The sequence below is a fragment of the Homo sapiens genome, chromosome 2 (genome assembly GCF_000001405.40).
Source record: "Homo sapiens chromosome 2, GRCh38.p14 Primary Assembly".
NCBI lineage: Eukaryota > Metazoa > Chordata > Mammalia > Primates > Hominidae > Homo > Homo sapiens.
This window is the reverse complement of record NC_000002.12, coordinates 9,972,635-9,992,664: the sequence shown is the minus strand read 5'-3', so window position 1 is coordinate 9,992,664 and position 20,030 is coordinate 9,972,635. Positions and strand designations below refer to the sequence as shown.

General features: G+C 43.4%; 1 protein-coding gene across 8 annotated transcripts in view; it reads right to left on the bottom strand.

Moving 5' to 3' along the window:
• Nucleotides 1-20,030, bottom strand: part of GRHL1 (grainyhead like transcription factor 1) — a 50,585-nt gene that overhangs the window by 9,613 nt on the left and 20,942 nt on the right. For 4 of the 8 annotated variants that reach the window (XM_006711882.4, XM_011510343.3, XM_047444018.1 and 1 more), the window contains 3 exons: nucleotides 6,383-6,541; nucleotides 1,882-1,969; nucleotides 519-658 (listed from right to left, as the gene is read on the bottom strand). In XM_006711882.4, coding sequence (XP_006711945.1) covers nucleotides 519-658; nucleotides 1,882-1,969; nucleotides 6,383-6,541 — 387 coding nt within the window. Of the gene's footprint in view, nucleotides 1-348; nucleotides 659-1,881; nucleotides 1,970-6,382; nucleotides 6,542-20,030 lie in introns of all 8 variants that reach the window. The other 4 variants (NM_198182.3, XM_047444017.1, XM_047444019.1 and 1 more) reach the window with 2 other exon arrangements.

Below are 20,030 nucleotides of genomic sequence, written 5' to 3'. Positions count from 1 at the left end.
ATCCCTTGTAAGCCTTTGCCACAAAACAGGGCGTGACCATTTTTTAAAATTTAGTTTTAGTTGCCAAGACATGGCCATTGGTAACTACACGTGGCAAGGACGGCTCAGTAACTGGAACTGTGAGAAAAGCCTTCGGATGTTCTTATGTTATAAGAGCTCCTTAACCTAGGTATTGCCCCAAGTTAAGTTTAAAAAGATGACAGGCTCAAACTCCAAATTATGCTACTATTCTAGAATCTTTTAAATGAGCTAGGATATGTAGGTATGAAGAACGAACGAATGAATGAATGAATACAAACAGAATAAAGCTGACAGGCTGCACTGCACCTTGAAATCAGCGATGCTTACCATTTTTATTGCACGGGCATCATGTCACCCCAGCAGAATATTCCAAAGAGCTGACTAACTGGTCAAACCTCACTCAATTTTGGCTTCTGTTTCCCATGAATAATGCCAAAGAATTTCCTTTTGCCATGCCTTCCTTCCTGGTAACCTCCCCTGGGATCCTGGTTACCTACATGAGTGCCCCGCTGCAAGTTGGCAAAGTGCACGTCAGGAATGAAGAGGACAGGCTGAGTATCGAGATCAATGAAGGGTTTGAAAACTGTGATATCCATTCGCTTGTGAGAGGGAAGCAGTGGCACTTTAACATCAGAAACTGAAAAAAAAAAAAATTAAAAAAGAGGAAGCCAAGGTCAAAGGATTACATACAGACTGGATGCAGGCCACAGAGTGCTCGCCTCTGAGTAAGATACTCCAAGTGTAGCACTCTGTAAGATACAACAGGGCACGCTGCCTGCCTAAGAATCCCAGTTTATGTAAAGGAATTTGTTGTGTGTATTTCCACTAAAATCAACTGAATGTCTTATCAAATCAAAAGGGAAAAGGTATCTTCAAACACACACAGACGCATATCCACAGAAGATTTGCGACAGAGGCAGAGCGTATTTAGTTTTCATTGGAAAGGCTAAAATGTATAATTGTGTAAACATAATTTGGAAGAAATTTCACCTCAGCTGTCCTCATTAAATAATTTACATTCCAACACTCATGGACCCATTGACTTCAGAACATATCAAGAAACTCGACAATGAGGTGAAGTGTAAGCATGCCCATCCAATTTTTAATTTAGTAAGTTAGAGACTCCATCTTCCCCAATGATCTGGCTGGCCCTGAAGTACTCAGTAATGAGGTCTCCTAGTTAGTCAGCTGCTCTCTGAAGTGTCACTGGGAGTTTGTACTTTGATACCAGTAGGAGAATCCTGACTAAGGTGTTGCAGGGCAAATGTCTGCTGAGCCAGACAGACCATTCAAAAGAGCTGCCAGAAGCCCATGTACTACAGATGGAACCCTACAGGCACAGAACAGCACTTTCTTCATTTTAGATACAAGATTTTGTGAATATGAATACTGGTCACAATTAAAAAAAAAAGAAAACAAAGCCTTCCTGGTGAAATGTCCAAACAGAAGCCCTATAGATTCTGCAAATATTAAAATACTATACTTTAGATACAAAATATGATCTTACTTGGAGTTAAGACATCTTGAATTCTCAAGACCATTATTATTACTTTAAAAAATCTAGATAAGTCCCAATTTTAACAGTGATTCATGCAGAACGTGTTGTCATTTTTCAAGACTGGAAACAGAAGTCTGAACTAGAACTGAGAGCCAAAAACGCTGAGGTCGGGAAAACCCAGGGATCTATCCTGTAGTCCCCAGGAAAACCCCTCCCGCTGAGCTGGCATCTGCTGCTGATCTGAGGAAGAGGCAGTGCCACACTGCAGAACAGGAAGAACACCCACTGTCTTCTGCGTGCAAACTCCAGCCACCATTCTCAATGGAAAAGGTCTGAAGCTTGCCGGGAACATTTCTACTTACAGGCATTCACCTGGGAGCTGGGGTCAGGACACTTGCCTTTTCTTTTGCTTTGCTTTCGTTCTTCATCCCTGATTTTCCGCTCAGCTCCCTGTAGGTTAAGAGAAGACAAGATATGATTCTGTTTTCCAATCTTCTTTAAAATATTTAACTCTTATCCTGACCAATGGAAGAAGAAGCCTTTCTCCCTTCTCTGGACAGGAACCCCATTACTTACTATATTCATGAGGCTTATCATAGTAGTTTCTTCTAAAAAGATTAGTCTTAAAATTATTTTTAATTCTATGAAATCACAGGGAACAACATTTATTTGAAAAACAAATAAAGCAAAATTCCGGCCGGAAGCGGTAGCTCATGCCTGTAATCCCAGCACTTTGGGAGGCCGAGGTGGGTGGATCATTTGAGGTCAGGAGTTCGAGACCAGCCTGGCCAACATGGTGAAACCCCACCTCTACTAAAAATACAAAAATTAGCCAGGCGTGGTAGCGGGCACCTGTAGTCCCAGCTACTTGGGAGGCTGAGGCAGGAGAACTGCTTGAACCCCTGAGAGGTGGAGGTTGCAGTGAGCTGAGATCACACCACTGCACTCCAGCCTGGGTGACAAAGCGAAACTCTGTCTCAAAAAAAAAAAGCAAAATTTCTCCTTATAATGGATGTGGTCGTGTTAAATGAAAGCTGAGAAAATCTGTGAGTATACCACATGCCTGCAAAGACACAAGGGTATTTTCCCTTTGTCCAGTAGGAAAAGGAAATGAAAGAAAAAACCCAAGTTGGCCCTACTCTTGAGTATACTCTCCTATATGGCCAAGGTTATCACTGAAGGCTGTGATTCAGTCCAAGGGCCTGGTATCAACCATGTGGCAGATCTAACCAAGCAGAATTCACAAAGTGAAGATGGAACTAGAAATATGCATCATCACTTAAAAGAGAACAAGTGGGCTGGGCGCGGTGGCTCACGCTTGTAATCCCAGCATTTTGGGAGGCCGAGGTGGGTGGATCCCTTGAGGCCAGGAGTTCACGACCAGCCTGGCCAACATGGGAAACCCTGTCTCCATTAAAAATACAAAAAATTTAGCCGGGCGTGGTGATGCATGCCTGTAATCCCAGCTACTCGGGAGGCTGAGGCAGGAGAATCAGTTGAACCTGGGAGGTAGAGATTGCGGTGAGCTGGGATCGCACCACTGTACTCCAGTCTGGGTGACAGAGTGAGACTCCCTCAAAGAAAAAAGAGAAAAAGTGTACTCAGAGTCCTAGAAAAAGACACTCGTGTACTCTGTATATCAACTGCTCAAAGACCGATAGTACCATGCAGCTGAACCCACAACAACAAAGTTCAAAAGAACCATATTAGTAACAAACACGGCCCAAAATCAGGCAATGAAGCATATTTAAAAACATTACATTTAATCATTTTGCTTGACTTATTGGAATTAATTTCTGGATGGTACAGATTTCTTTACATAGTGCTCCAGTTAAGGATGAACTGGTAGCTTATTTTTCTGTTAAATAAATTTGCTGAGAGCAAAAAGAGGCAATAAAAATCCCACTGATCTTATTAGCATTATTATATAATAAGGACCACATTTTAAAAACAGAATATAAAACCACCTTCTGCCTTTTCTAGAAGGTGGTAGCATACTAACATAGTAAATATACAACCTGCTTATAAAAATTGCTATGTAACATTGACACAACAGTCCCTCCCTGACACAGAAAAACAGGTAAATATCCCCAATCTCCTAGCCATTATTGTATGAAGTTGGTCTGGGTCTCTCTGTCCCTTCTAACAAGTCTAACCATAACTTCATTCTGATGATAAACACCACCCTCCTCCAAAAGGTGGAGGGTGCAGTCCTATTACAAAATAGGACTGTCCCTCCTTATTTATCTGTGTATCTATAAAGAATAAGGTATTTCTGTTTCTACATAACATGGAGTAACACAGATCAGATTTACCCTCCACCCTGAAACAACAACAAAAACCAGACGAAATGCAGAAACAAGAACGAGAAGGCCCTGACCAGCAGGCAACTAAAGAACAGTGATCCCTGGGAGACAGGAACCCGCGGCAAGTCCTCAAACCATGCTGGCTGCTGCCTTCAGAGTTCCCAGGCCATGGCATGGGAATTCTCATGTATTCTCAGTCCAGGTGCCCAGGTTTGAGGAGACAGAGCTGGAAGTCCACAGAGACCAAGGCAGCAGGACAAAGTACCAAAGAGGAAAGAGCTCCGAGATCTTCAGTGAGCCCCACTCCAGTACGTGGCCGGGTACCAACAGGTACACAGGTACCAGGAAGCTGCCCAAGGCTGGGGGTCAGGGTTGGGAACTGACATCCGAAAAGATTAGAGAAACAGTGCCCGAAACTCACACAGAGCCAGAAACAGTACCTGTTCCCACCATATGGGATGGACTGGAAATCCCTGTCATGAGGATTATTACAAGGAAGTAATGTGAGAAAACTTGTAATGAGCAGGGCACTTGGTAGAATATTCAGAAAAATCCTGCTCAGGAGCGCGGGATGATTAGCCTTACACTGAGCACAGCTCCAGATCCGCCTAGCAAATCATAGACATAAGATCTTAACGAGCAGATGGTTTCCGAGCAACTTAACCAGATTTCAGGACAAAATTCAAGGAGATTCACAATAATACAAAAATGTCGAGCACCCAGGAAGGTGAAAATCACCAAAATGCCACACAAAGAGTAAACATCATCCAAAAAATCCAAAAAAGGCCTCAGGCTCATTCACTGTGCTCAGCCACTGTGCTTTGTGTACCTGATGCAAAAGCCAGGGTGACAGACCAGGCCTCTGACAGCAAACATACTTCCAGTTACCTAGCCCCTCTAAAAATCTCAATAAAAGACAAGCTCCCTTAATAGGATGAAAAGAACTGCCCCCGTCCCCTGCCAAAAATAGGTCCAATATTTTTGAGTAGGAAAAACTCAAGATCTTGCTGTCTTAGTTCAATGGAATGTCCACTCATCCACGGTTGCTCCCCAGTTTCGAGCCAGCACAAACTTTCCCCTCAAGACTCGACGCACCTTCCAGACTCTCCCTGCATTGAATCCAGCTCAGCCCCTGGCTCTGCACTGGGCAAAAGTAAGCCTCTCTTCTCCAGATAAAAAAAGAGCCACACCAGGGAAAACAGGTCATGCAGAGATCCCTCTGGGCCCTGCACTTTTTCTTCTTGCCTCCCTGTGGCTGTAGAGAAGAATCCGCACCTCTCCTTCCCCATGCTTATTGAAGGGCCTTTGGGGAAGAGGGCTGTGAAGGCACAGCACTTTGTGATTCAGCCACTCGGACACAGCTAAGGAAGAGCTCCCGTGCAGGGGTGACTGCCTACACTTCCAGCAGCTGGGCTCAGAGGGTCCTGTGTGCACCTCCTTTACTTATCAGACATGCCCAACAAAACGTACTTATCAACCCTTCTAATCTATCAGTTAAAACGTAATTTCAAAAATCTCTACATAATGTGTCTTTGCAAGGCCAAAACAATAATTAAAAGCTATTTTAGGCCAGGCATGGTGGCTCACACCTGTAATCCCAGCACTTTGGGAAGCCAAAGTGGGCGCATCACATGAGGCCAGGAATTCAAGACCAGCCTGGCCAACCTGGCGAAACCCTGTTTCTATACAAAAATTAGCCAGGTGTGGTGGGTGTGCATCTGTAATCCCAGCTACTGGAGAGGCTGAGGCACAAGAATCATTTGAACCCGGGAAGCAGAGGCTGCAGTGAGCCGAGACTGCGCCACTGCACTCCAGCATGGGCGACAGCACCAGACTCTGTCTCAAAAAAAAAAAAAAGCTGTTTTACATTTTGGGAAGCCAAGATGGGAGGATCACTTGAGGACCGGAGTTCAAGACCAGCATGGGAAACATGGCAGGACCCCCATCTCCACAAGAAAATTAAAAATTAGCTGGGTGTGATGGGATGTGCCTGTAGTCCCAACTACTCAGGAGACTGAGTTTGGGGGATCGCTTGAGCCCAGGAGGTTGAGGCTACAGTGAGCAGTGATTGCACCACTAAATTCCAGCCTGGATGACAGAGTGAGACCTCATCTCTGATAAAGGCTGGGCGCGGTGGCTCACACCTGTAATCCTAGCACTGTGGGAGGCTGAGGTGGGCAGATTACCTGAGCTCAGGAGTTGGAGACCAGCCTGGGGAACATGGCGAAACCCTGTCTCTACTAAAAATACAAAAAACTAGCCGGCCGTGGTGGTGTGCACCTGTAATCCCAGCTACTGGGAAGGCTGGGGCACAAGAATTGCTTGAACCCAGAAGGCAGAATTGCAGTGAGCCGAGATTGCACCACTTCACTCCAGCCTGGGAGACAGAGGGAGACTCTGTCTCAACAATAAATAAATAAATAAATAAAAATAATTTTAAAAGTTATTCTATATTAGCAGCTATATTCTCATTTTGACATTAAATATTAAAGAGACCCTGGTCTTTTTCCATGAGTGTGTCTCAAACACTTGTTCCAAGCATCCCTGCCGATCTTACCTTGTCACAGAAGACCTTGATCTGGCAGTAGGCCCGGTGCACAGGCTTGTTGCTGCGGTTGTTGTAACTATAGGTATCAACTTGAATGTTAAGAGGCAACCCCTTCACTCCCTTCTGGGAAGAGAAATCTGTGCTTAAGCAGTTCACAGAGATGAAAACCTGCCAAGGGAAGAGAAGGTTCCATAAGCAACAGGCACCAAGTCAAACCTAGCACAGCTCATGAAAATATTAACATCACTGAAATTACTCAAGTCTATTTTAAATGAGAAGCTCAGCTTCTCATTTTTTAAAAAAGGGTTTTTAAAAAGAGGTGATCAGGGGTTTATTTTAAAACTGCTTTTGGTCATAGAAATAGCAGACCTTAAAGAGGAGGAAGAGTCGGCAGCTCTGAACCTCTGCTTATGTTCCCTTCCAGAATCCCTATTTAATATCAGCTAGGACAGGGGAAGAGGCTGGTTAGCTTTCCTGATGTCATTTTCCAAAGTTACCAATAGCATAGCTCCCTCTGCAGCTGTTCTGTAACTTAGTAAAAACTTCCTAGGAATCCACCTATATTTGCGTTGACACCACCTCTTAGGATAACCTGTAGTACTCTGTGTCCTCATATTTTAGAACTTATGACATCAGTGTTCCTCTAATCCACAATTTTTATAAGATTCCAATAAAGTTCTCTCTCAATCTTTGCCCATGCAGACTAAACAGTCCTCATTTCTTTCCAGTTTGTTCTTATTAACCTTTTGGTTATCAAATCACATTGGGCCCAGTGTTCAAGGGATGATTTGTAATTTACAATTATTTCCATACTCCTTTCTAGGTATGGAAATATCAGTGCAAGGGTCTTTTATTTAAACATAACTGGATTCTTTACATGCCCAGATTAAACCTAAGACAAAAGTGGTAACGTTTGTTAATAGGCTGAGAACTTAACGATCACTAAACACCCAGGAATGTGTTCCTCATTCAAGAAGTTCCACACAGATGTGGTCAAAACTCCCTAGAATAACCCGGGAAGATGTTATGCTGGTGGGTCTATTTCCATGAGAGAAACGAAGAATCCAATTCCTTAAGCAACAGTTCTACTATTCAATCATGAAATTACTTCAGAGAAACTGTCTAAACCAGACTTTGAGCTTCTCAACCCACAGTTTCAAAAGTCTGCTTTCCTATCAGTGCCCAAGCCACCACTTCCCACAGGAGCAATTTTTTTTTTTTTTTTTGAGACAGTCTGGCTCTGTCACCCAGGCTGGAGTGTGGTGGTGTGATCTCAGCTCACTGCAACCTTTGCCTTCTGGATTCAAGCCATGCTCCCACCTCAGCCTTCCAACTAGCTGGGATCACAGGTGTGCGCCACCACGCCCAGGTAATTTTTGTATTTTTTTTTTTTTTAGAGACAGGGTTCCACTATGTTGCCCAGGCTGGTCTCCAACTCCTGAGCTCAAGCAATCCTACCATCTTGGCCTCCCAAAGTGCTGGGATTACAGGCAGGAGCTACCACACTCAGCCCACAAGAACAATATTTAAAGATGACTTCCAAGTGCAGTAGGTTAGCACCGGCTACACTCACTCCAGCTGCTAGCATGTGCCTGAGCAATGCACTAAGCCGGCGAGAACCCATCCAGGGGGATCCCCCACCTTCGAAATGGAAGGCAGGAGATGTCACACCCTTCTCTCCTGGGCTCCAAATCAGTTATCTCCCGCACATTTTCTCAAAAGTTAAAATAAGCTGAGTCACATTATGAATATGACATTGGAAGCTGCTACTTAAGAGGAACCCAGTGTACAGCAAATAAACATGTGCCATTTCCCCACTATTTTTATCACTGTGGATTTTAAAAATGTTTTTGAGCTCCCTTTCAACTAGTTTTAGAATTTACTGCGGATGCATGTGCACCACATAGTGGACATTATTGGAATTACAGTTTTTAAAACTAAGACTGGCCCATTTCAGACCCTTCAACCCCGTGAGCTGACAGGGGAAGATTCCTTCTAGCCCCTGGGTCAACAGCCAAGAATGGGTCCACCACAAGCAGCACTGGGTGTCACTGGCTGAACTAGGGCAGATGGGGAAAAATTTAAGTTATAATGGGGTTGGGGGGCAGCTATAGTAACTTTTTTTTTTTGAGATGAAGTTTTGCTCTTGTTGCCCAGGCTGGAGTGCAATGGCGCAATCTCGGCTCACAGCAACCCTGCAACCTCCGCCTCCCGGGTTCAAGCGATTCTCCTGCCCCAGCCTCCTGGGTAGCCAGGATTACAGGCTTGCACCACCACACCTGGCTAATTTTGTATTTTTAGTAGAGACAGGGTTTCACTATATTGGCCAGGCTGGTCTCGAACTCCTGACCTCATGATCCGCCCACCTCGGCCTCCCAAAGTGCTCAGATTACAGGTGTGAGTCACCACTCCCGGCCACATTTTTTTTTTTAAACACTTCAAGTACAATCTCTAAATCCACAAATCAGAGGTAAGGAGAGTCTGTGGAATGCATTCAGGTTTAAAAAAAAAAAAAGTCCATGCAAACAACTAAGCAAAGTAACCAAACCACCATATATTTTTCAATTTACAACCAATGGAAAATCCGAATTTTTTCTGTCATTCTAGGCCACGTGGCTCAATTCCTAGTTCAAAAACAGCTGCCTGGGAAAGTTCGACTTCATCCTCACGATTCCAGGAAGTGATATTCCCTTTACAAGAAGATTTCACAGTAATCCAACCCGAAACCTAACCTCCCCTTGCTTCCCAGTTTCAAGTTTCTATTCAAAAAAGAAATGAGCAGGGGCCAAATCCCAGGATCGGGGCAAACATGGAGCTTTGGCACAGCTTTGCCCATGCTGGTGTGCATTCATGATGATTTGCAGTCTCTTACTGATATACATTTCTCTCTTATTCTAAAAAATCAATTCTTCCCAAACTTGGCAGTTTTCTAAATGTATTAAAGAAAGTTGACAATGGTCCTAATTCAGCATTAAAAAAAAAATGCTACCTTGCCTAGATAAATACACAAACATCCCAGGAGAAGGTGACAAAGCTGTGAAACGTAAGCACTGCAGGCCAGGAACATGAGAGACAAGAACAGTGGGCCGAAGATGCCAAAGAGAAGATGGGGCCGGTGCTCACGATGCCCCTGCTCTTAGGAAAGGATCCCAGGTAAGAACACAGATGATCAAGGGGATATGCTGGTGTGGAGGGGACATACGTGCCGGGTTTAACCCTCAACCAAAGTCTACAAGGGGAGCCACATGCACAGCCGCTTAGGTCTGAACATCAAAGCATTTGAGCTGGCCCCTAACTAAGCACTGCGACCCAGTGCAAGGGTCCTTACCTGTCAAAGGGCAGGGTGAGTTCGTGGATCTCTAGATGACTACCTCTGGACGTCTATGATTATATACTTATATTGACAAAGGATGAATCCTATATCCATACTGTTTTTACTGGTGACAATAATTTTGTGTAATACATTTACCTATCAACTTTTTATAAGTCATATTAGTTTAAAAATACCAAGTAAGTTGCCAGTTAAAGTCATCACAATAACTACTTATGTAAAACTTAAGAATCTCATACGGCAATGGCTCTCAAAGTGTGATGCCAGGAGCATCAGCACGAGGGAACTTGTTGGAAATGAAGATCCTGGTGCCCACCCCAGACTCACTGAATCCGAAAACTCAGGGAGAGTGAAGCGGGAGGTTAACAAGCTCTCCAGCTAATTCTATGCACACTAAAGTTTCAGAATCCTGTCTGTACAACAGTGCCTCACAACTCTGACTGAATTAGAATCGCCTGGCAGGACTTTAAAACATACGGATGTCAGATGTCCTGGCTACACCCCAGAGATTCTGATTTCATTGTCCTGGAATGGGTTTGAGATGCTGGGACTGTTTTTTTTGGTGCTTCCTACCAAATTCGAGTAATTCGAGTGATTGGCCAAGATAGAAACCACTGCGGTAACGTGATTAGTCTTCTAGCTGCTTATACACTGTGATCCACAAAAGGTCTACCTTGGCTCCAAAACTCTGAGATTATTAAAGCAAGTTCCAATACATGGTTTCCTTTCCTTAAAGAGTTAAGATATTTTTATATGTATTTATATGTATGCCAGCAAGTTTTTAACATTAAACAAAATTTTTACAGAGGCATAGCCCTATCAAATAAGAATATTCATGTAATCAAAAGAAAGATCTAGGTTAAAGCCATTTTGTTCAACCCTGCTATTCAATAAGGTCATGCAAATCCTCAAATACTCAAGAGTTCTTAAGATATTAACCACAAAAATAAACAAGTACACACACATTAAACTCTCCCGCTTATTTTTATTACTCATGTTATGTTTGATTTCATAGGGATTTGCATTTGTGGATGAACTTGTGTGTTCAGCTGAAGGCTGAAGTTGTAACTCTGAACCACAGGACAAAGCATGATGTGATGTCTTCCTCACTAAATGGCAATGTCCTTGAGAAGACCCTGTCTTAATCATCTCTGTGTCTCACGCCTGGCTCATAACATATGCTTATTGCATGCTTTTAATAAAAGGAGGAAAATGCATACTGGGTAGTAAGTAAGTATAGCTAAGAATAAATAAAATGTAGATATATAAAATATCTTTTCATACCCTTATCTAAATCAGAAGCGACTATTTTTCTGTAAAGGGCCCGACATTATTTTCACATCCGTAGGTCATATGCAACTACTCGACTCTGCAGTAATAGTGTAAAAGCAGCCACGGATATGAGTGTGGTCGTGTTTCGATAAAACTTGATTTATATAAGCAGGCACCTAGCTGGCCCGCGCCTCAGAGCTGTCGTCTGCTGACCAGTGATCTAAACCATCCTCTAAGTTGCTTGGACATTAATTTATCCTTACATCATCACGATGGAGTAAATAGGGAGGAGGTGTATTTCCCTGTTTGTAATTGAGTATTTCCACTTTCCGCATAAGCGACTTCCTGGCAAGACATCCAGTGTGTGCTGTGCCCATGTGTCACTCGCCTGTGGAAACACACTGTCCCTATCAGCCCAGCCCACACTCATGGAGGGGACCAGGTAAGTTCTGAGGGAGAAGTGCAGCTTCCGGGGAGCTTTATGGTCAGGAGGGTGGCCTTCTTTAGTCTGCAACTGAACAGTTTTGTTTAATGTTAAAAAGCTGCTGGCATACACATATGGCGAGTGTAGAAACACAAGCCAGAGCTCTCCCTTGGGTCCAGTGGGAGCAACAAGATGGGCACACTTTGTTCCTCAGTTTTAACACTTCCCATGGATTCTACCTAATGGGCAGCCCCGAGTGAGCAAGACCACAGGGCTGTTCACCCAAATCCAGGTAAAACCAGGCTCGGACCATTCCTATCCTGCAGACAAATTATCACTGTGATTACAGAAAACACTCCACTATCTTTACAGAGGATGGGAAAGAGGTAAAAAGTAAGATGAATGAGCACACATCCAACTCCTCCTCTATAAAACATACAGGAATGCACGCACACTTAAAAAGCCCCATTTCAGAATCGGAGTAGGCTGAATGATTTACAACCTTCCTTCTCTAGAAAGATGTGAAGATCTCTGACATAAAACTTTAAGAATTCAAAAGATGACCTTTTCTGTTTTCATACTTCCTTCCCAATTATTTTGAGAGAAAACATTTGTATTCAAATAATTAGAACATTAATCTCAAAAGATGAGCAACTACTATTCCCACCCAAATTATTGGAAGAGAAAAAAACTAACCACAAACATAAACTGCTGAACAGGCCAAGGTGCTCTACAAGATTCCTTTTTAAATGTCTAGCCCATTTTTCTAAGGACAGTTCCTCATTCCTGACCAAGAATTTATGCACTTAGAATGTTTCAAAATATTTAATTCTTTTTTTTTTTTTGGTTTTCAAACCTCAGTTTGAAAATGAGAGGAAAACAAAATAAAATGATTTACATAATCAAAGGATTAACTGATACAGACTTTTATTCTAAATGCTCACAAGCACAGAAACCAACAAGAAATCAGATCTTGAACGAATTTATAATGATTCTTCCAGGAAGCACCGCGGCAGCCACATAAGCGCTGTTCACACCTGGCTGCGTCTGCCAAGTTAGTCCTCAAAGAGAAAACAAGGAGGAAAAAGACAAAAAAAAAACAAACCACCAAACCCAGTGTGCTCAAAACACAGATCACCATCAGAGGTTCATTTCACAGCAGGTATAGGGAAAGTAACTGAGAATCAATTTTATAAAACCCCCAACACACCCACTCCTTTCGAGCTTTTATCAACACCACAAACCAAGACACAATTCCAGTAAAGCTTGCTAACTGTCTAGTCTAAAGAGAGTAGTCAGGAACGTGAACTTTAACAAGTGAATTTAATTTGTGGAGAGAAATTATAGAAATATTTTTAAATCTCCTAATTCACAGAAAAGAATGCATGAACAAAGCACTTGGAGTCCATGAGTCAAAAGTTACAAAAACATCAAGTGGTGAAGTTAGGAGCTAAGGGATGCAAATGTTTAATACATATCAGGGTATTTTTCATGAACTAGCAAAAAGGCTGTTGCTCTTTAAAAATTACCACAATGACAGTAATACTCATTCTGTATTATCATTCACCTATAAGAAAATAATCCAACATCCAAATATTAGTCTTAATTTTTTTTTCCACTGAGAAATTTAGGTAGAATTTTACATGGTTTTGTAACGTTGCTGCTATAATGCTGAAAATAATTTCCATAAGACTTTCATAATATAGTTTGCTCAACTGAGTAGAATAAAACAATTTCAAAATTTGAGCACTGGCCAGGCAGTGGCTCACACCTGTATGTGGGAGGATTGCTTGAGTCCAGGAGTTTGAGACCACCCTGGGCAACATAGCGAGACCCTGTCTCTAAAACAGAAAATAAAATAAATTAGCTGGGCATGGTGGTGTGCACCTGTAGTCCCAGCTACTTGGGAGGCCAAGGCGGGAGTATGGCTTGAGCCTAGGAGGTAGAGGCTGCAGTGAGCTGTGTCATGCCACTGCACTCCAGCCTGGGCAACAGAGTGAGACCCTGTCTTTAGAGTAAAAAAAAAAAAAAGATTGAACATTTAGATCCATTAAGACTAATATGAAGCAACTTTATGACAGTTTGGATAAGGTTTCCTTTTTTTTTTTTTTTTGAGAGAGAGTCTTGCCCAGGCTGGAATGCAGTGGCGCGATCTCGGCTCACTGCAACCTCCACCTCCCGGGTTCAAGCGATTCTCGTGCCTCAGCCTCCTGAGTAGCTAGGATTACAGGCGCGCACCACTACATCTGGCTAATTTTTGAATTTTGTTTTTTGAGAGGGAGTTTTGCACTTGTTGCCTAGGCTGGAGTGCAATGGCGCGATCTCAGCTCACTGAAACCTCCGCCTCCCGGGTTGAAGTGATTCTCCTGCCTCAGCCTCCCATGTAGCTGGGATTACAGGTGCCCGTCACCACACATGGCTAATCTTTGTATTTTTAGTAGAGACGGGGCGTCACCATGTTGGCCAGGCTGGTCTCAAACTCCTGACCTCAGGTGATCCATCTGCCTCGGCCTCCCAAAGTGCTGGGATTACAGGCATGAGCCACCATGCCCGGCTGGTTTCCTTTTTAAAGACCTGATTTTCAAACTAAAATAGAGTAAGTTCATAAGACCAAGTGAGATGTCACAGGTGCTCATCGAGGCAGCATCATCTCAGTGCTTGGGAAAATGAAAGAGCCTAGCTAGGAAAAACCACTAATAGCCTTCAATGGTTCTCTGCAGTGTGAAGGCAGGAATCCAAATTCTCAAGGCCTTCCAAAATCCAGCTCCAAATGTCCATTCTCGTTCACATCTCCTTTACAGGCACTTCCAAACTCTGGGGATCTTCATTTTCTCTGCCCCTGAATTTTAAAATACCCTTTCCTCCATCGTCTACTGACATACATTTCCCTTATGGATAAAGATCCAGCACCAACGGATACACCCTTTCTCATCACCATCCCCTCATCTGCCCAAAGGGAATCCCTCACACTCTCAGCTGTGTCCACTGCACTCTATGTACAGCTCCCTTTTACCACTTACCAAGTTGGACTAAGTAGCTTTTTCCTTCCCTCAAACTCCCTGTGAGGACAGATGATATGGTTTGGCTGTGTCCCCACCCAAATCTCATCTTGAATTGTAGCTCCCATAACTCCCACGTGTTGAGGGAGGGACCCTGTGGGAGATAACTGAATCATGGGGGCGATTTCCCCCATACTGTTCTCGTGGTAGTGAATAAGTCCCATGAGATCTGATGGTTTTATAAGGGGTTTCCCCTTTTGCTTGGCTCTCATTCTCTCTCGCCGGCCGCCATGGAGGACGTGGCTTTCGCCTTCCGCCATGATTTTGAGGCCTCCCCAGCCACATGGAACTGTGAGTCCATTAAATCTCTTTTTATTTATAAATTACCCAGTCTCGGGTATGTCTTTATCAGCAGCATGAAAATGGACTAATACACCAGACTATGAGATTCTTTAGGGAAATGGCCACTTCTCTATACTCTCATTGCCTCGGTCAAGGTCATCACCTGGATCAAGGACACGGAGGGCGGAGTGAGAACCTTAACATTCACCTCTGTTTAACTCCTGTCCCTGTAACACTGCAGTTAGTAAGTTCCCTAGGTCCCTTGAAGGCAGGGATGTTGTTCATTTTAAAAATTTATTCCAGCTGGATGTGGTGGCTCATGCCTGTTAATCCCAGCACTTTGGGAGGCCGAGGCGGGCGGATCACTTGAGGCCAGGAATTTGAGACCAGCCTGGCCAACATGGTGAAACCCTGTCTCTAACAAAAATATAAAAACTTAGCTGAGTGAGGTGGCGCATGCCTGTAATCCCAGTTAGTCGGGAGGCTGAGGCACGAGAATTGCTTGATCCCCGGAGGCGGAGGTTGCAGTGAGCTGAGATCATGCCACTGCACTCCAGCCTGAGTGACAGAGCAAGACTTCGTCTGAAAAAAAAAATTTCTTCCAGTGTTTATTATTATCTGTTATTAAATGGTACTGAATTAAATACTAGTAATGAGAGACAGAAAAACGATGGGCATACAAAATCTACATACTGTCTCCAAATCTTATTTCAACAAGTTTCAAATCCTCATAAAACTTATAAATACATAACAGTGCCCCCACCAAATAAACACAAACAATAAAAAGAGCTAATATAAAGTTACAGAAATTAAACATTTTCTTCCAACCTCTAGTAGAGGACCCCCTAAACAATAAAATGGCTACAAATCAGGCAATGAAATGAAAAAGAGACAGATTGCTTAATATTAGGCAATTGCCAAATATTAGTGTCACTTCAGAATCTTAATAATGTATTCCTAAACATTTGCAGTAGCTTACCACAGTCTATGTGAAAAAGACAACATTCCTTAGCATTCAAGCTATTTATGTGACTCCAATCCACCTTTCCAGCCATACTTTGTACCCCACCTGTAACAGTATTTCCCAAATGTGAATACTACACACATCCTCTTTAAAAGGCAAAAGTTGCTTCACCCCTAAAAATATACCCAGATCTGAGTCTGAGAAATGCCACTCTATTCAAATGACTGCAAAACGTCTGATCACCCAGCACCCCAAGACCTCATGTGGCCTTTATCTGGCCTCAACCCCAAACCTAAGCGCACACCCTGGCACTGACGTCTCCTGGCAGCATTTGACTCTGGTGGCATGCAGGATACGCTTCTGACTAAAAAGTCTCATCACTGACTTGAAAACACATTACACAGCCTCAAAGAACCTCCAACCCCAAGACCCTTGGGGTCACAACATTACACAGCCTCAACGAACCTCCAACCCCAAGACCCTTGGTCCACAGACCCCATGGATTGGAGACAAGCTCCTTGCGAGGGCACCCCAGGGCCTTCCTCTGCAGTCCCCACCACTCCTGGCTCAGAAGACATCAAAGGTCACAGCTCATTCTGGGTTCTGCATGCCAGCCTGGTTCCCACTATCCTTTAGGAACCCCCACCACCACCCCCGCCGAGGGTCACTTGAGAAGTGTGACGAATCTTCCTATTCCAAGTGAGGTTCCCTTCCTTCGTGTCACCTGCAACCCTACGCTTACTAGAGTGCAATCCTCCCACTGAGTTCTGAGTTTTGGGTCATGGATTACTCATCTTTCCATTCCAAGAGCATCTTGGCAGTGCCTGGCCAATAAGAAATACACGTTTCCTGGACGAATGACTCACTTTCCTGAACTCCAGCCAAATAAAACTACATGCTGCTGTGGTATTTGTGCTACTTTTATACCATTCTTTGACCCTCAAAAACACCTATGAAATTGGTACTATTTTGGACCCATTTTACAGATGAGGAAACCAAGACTTAGAGGTTAGGTAACTTGTCCAAATCCACAAGTTATTTGTGTTTATTATTTTTTGTTTTTTTGTTTTTTGAGACAGAGTTTTTTTTCTTGTTGCCCAGGCTGGAATGCAATGGTGCAATCTCGGCTCACTGCAACCTCCAACTCCTGGGTTCAAGCGATTTTCCTGCCTCAGTCTCCCAAGTAGCTGAGATTACAGGCACGCATCACCACACTCAGATAATTTTTTTTTTTTTTTGTATTTACTAGAGACGGAGTTTCACCACGTTGGTCAGGCTGGTCTCGAACTCCTGATCTCAGGTGATACACCCGTCTCGGCCTCCCAAAGCGCTGGGATTACCGGCAAGAGCCACCGCGCCCGGCCTGTGTTTATATCTTTCTTTTAAGCTGACTTGAACTCCTAGGTCATCTGGGTAGAATCCAAAATGCCAAGCAGTATTTTACACATACTGAACAGTAAATATTTGCTGAATACTTAAGTTGACTATTTATATCCCCTGAATCATTTCAGAAAAGATTATGGTATTTAGAGACTGCCTGAGATACACTGAGATATACAAGGTAAGTGCCAGGGTAGAGATAAACCCACCTCACAGGCTATGACCTGGTTTTCTATTGTGTGTATTCACTTTTAGTTTTCAATTGCTATCTCCAGTGACTATCTTTCTGTTACAGAAGCTGCAGGTACCTAACAATTTTTATTTGACAAATACAGGTTTATCCCTTCAATGGTGCATTTACAGATGTGGTAATGTCTGTGACTTCAGACTCCTCTGTGACTTAGGGCTGCAGAAGACAAGTCTGCAGCTGTTGCTTCTGTACTACACAGGCCTTAGAAGGTGAAAGCACCTCCTCGGACTAAGCTGTTCCAGCTGCCCCTTTTCCACTTACATTCACAACAGCGACTCTATGAGGGGAAAGATAAGGAAAAAGAAATACGACCCAATCAAACATCTTTTGCAAAAATATTCTGCAGCTCCAGCAAAGACTTTGGGGATTCCCTCAGCTGAAAGTCCACTTCCCTGGAAATCTTAAGAGCATGTTTTTACCCTCACTTACAATATGGACCAGAATACACAGTGTAATCTCCTCTGAGGTCAGGCTTTATGCTTCAGTCATTTTCTTATTCCTCTGCAGTGCTTACATAGAGAAGTGCAACGAACAATTCGCTCAATGAATGAATGTATAGTTCGGGAAGCTGACTCCCTGCAACATGACTTCCTAAGCCAGTTCTTCCACAGGGTAGCAACAGAGTGATCACCTTGCATAGAATTTCCTGGATGTTAGAAAACAGTCAAATTGGTCAATAATGAGACAGAGAAAATAAAAACTTTGAGGAAGTGTTTTGCTTTTGTGAATCAGAGGGTGATCCACAGCAGGCTTCTGGAAGCACCAGCCCGTAGAGCTGAGTGCCTGCTGGCCCACATCAGTATCGCCTGCTGTCATGTGTGTATTATCACGCCCAACTCAAAAGCTTCAAGTGAGTTCCAACTGCCTGGTAAATATATCAAGAAAATATCTGCTAGAAGGAAGAAAAGAAAAAAGTAATGTAGGTGGATTTAACTGTGGAAGATGCTTCAGAAAGTTGGTCACCGAAAAAAGTTTTACATTCCCAAAATGCACTTATCCTCACTGCCTACCCTAAAAACATTCACCTTTCACGAGAATATCACAAAGCACGTAGTCTCTGGCTTTCAATATCTTTGAACTCAAGAGACAGTGTCAAGCTGTGATTGAGCCTCAGGCTTTGAAGATATAGATGGCAAAAGACACACAGTTAAACAGGTGACAAAGCCAAGGCCAGGACCCAAGTCTCCTGACTCCAACCTCAAGGCTCTTTTCTCAAAACCACACTGCCACAGTGACGGATAGAGAGCCAGAGAAGCACCTTGTGGAAAAATTGTTTGGTGAAGTAGATGAACTTAGAGAAAAGGGCGAACCCCAAACGGTTCTGAGCAGGTTGTTTTTTGGTCATGAGGCATGAAATTAAAGGTCTCTACATTTCGAACCAAATAGCTAGGCTGTTCCAAACTTCCTGTTTGACTTCACATAAGTCATGAGTCCAGCTGGTGATGTGGCTCCATGAGACAGTAGCAGCGGTCGTGGACACAGGCCCAGTTGCCTCTGGGAGTCTTTATCATTTTAACCCATCTTAGTATTTATTTAAATTCAACTTAGTCAAATTCCGACATATCATTTCAGAAAGTAACCTATCTACTAAATTGAATGTAGAAACCCTAGGGAAATTTCTAATTTAATTCTCTAAATCAGTCAAAAAGATTGCTCTAAGACAGTTCATAGAAATCTAACAATCAAAATTAAAATGTGAGGTCCATAATGTAGTTTATTCTAACTCCGAATCCAACAGCACTAAAGAGAATGAAATCACCATTTTCTAAGACATTTATATACAGTTATAGAATTCAACTGAAGTCAGTAGAGTGGGAAATAGTTTAAACTAACAAATCAAAGTTGAATTAGCCAGGAACATTTTACTAAGTAATGATACAGCAGACACTTAATCATCATAGCATTCCTTCCCCAACCCAAAATAAACAAACAAACACTGATGACCTTCCTTCTCTCTGGGCTTTGTGGTCCCCTGCTAGTCCTCCATGTGTGCGGGCTCCATTAATTCGTGAGGCCCAAGAAGGTACTGGGGACTGAGTCACAGACTCAGAAGCAGAACCCATTCCCACTGAGAGAACCCCAACACGCCTGCTCTGATGGTGGGAGGAGACCAGCCTCTCCCAGGGCAGAATGCTACCCCCCAAGAAATAAAAGACTTTCAGCGGCAGCCAGCATTTGTGTTATTTCTCAGGCTATCCAATCACCATCAAGGGAAAAGAAAAAGAATTGGCAGGAGGCGGGCAGGGAGGACAGAGATGTGGGAATAGAGAGGCACTAACTTGAAATCTTCCCACATCTATGTGGGGCGTTTCCCTGAAGAAAAACAAAGACGAGTCAGCAGCCTGGCTGTTGCCTCAGCACCACCTTCCCACACCGCCCACATGTGGGCTTGGTTTCTGTGGAGTGCAGGGAGCCAGGGAAAAAGTCACAGAGATAAAAAGACAGACAGAAAAAAAAACCACTCTGGAGGTACCTGCACACGGTTCTCCCCTGTGTCACGGTCCTGTAAGCAGGAGCTGGTGAACCTAAGGACACTTGGCATATACAGTGATTTGGCACCTGTTGTTCCAAACAAGTACAATGTTTGCTCTGAAATATGCAGAACTGGATGCAGGTGTGACACAAGGCACACAGGCCACATTCCATCCTCACCAGGCACGGAACACGGCAGGCAGGCCCATGGGCCAGAAAGGAA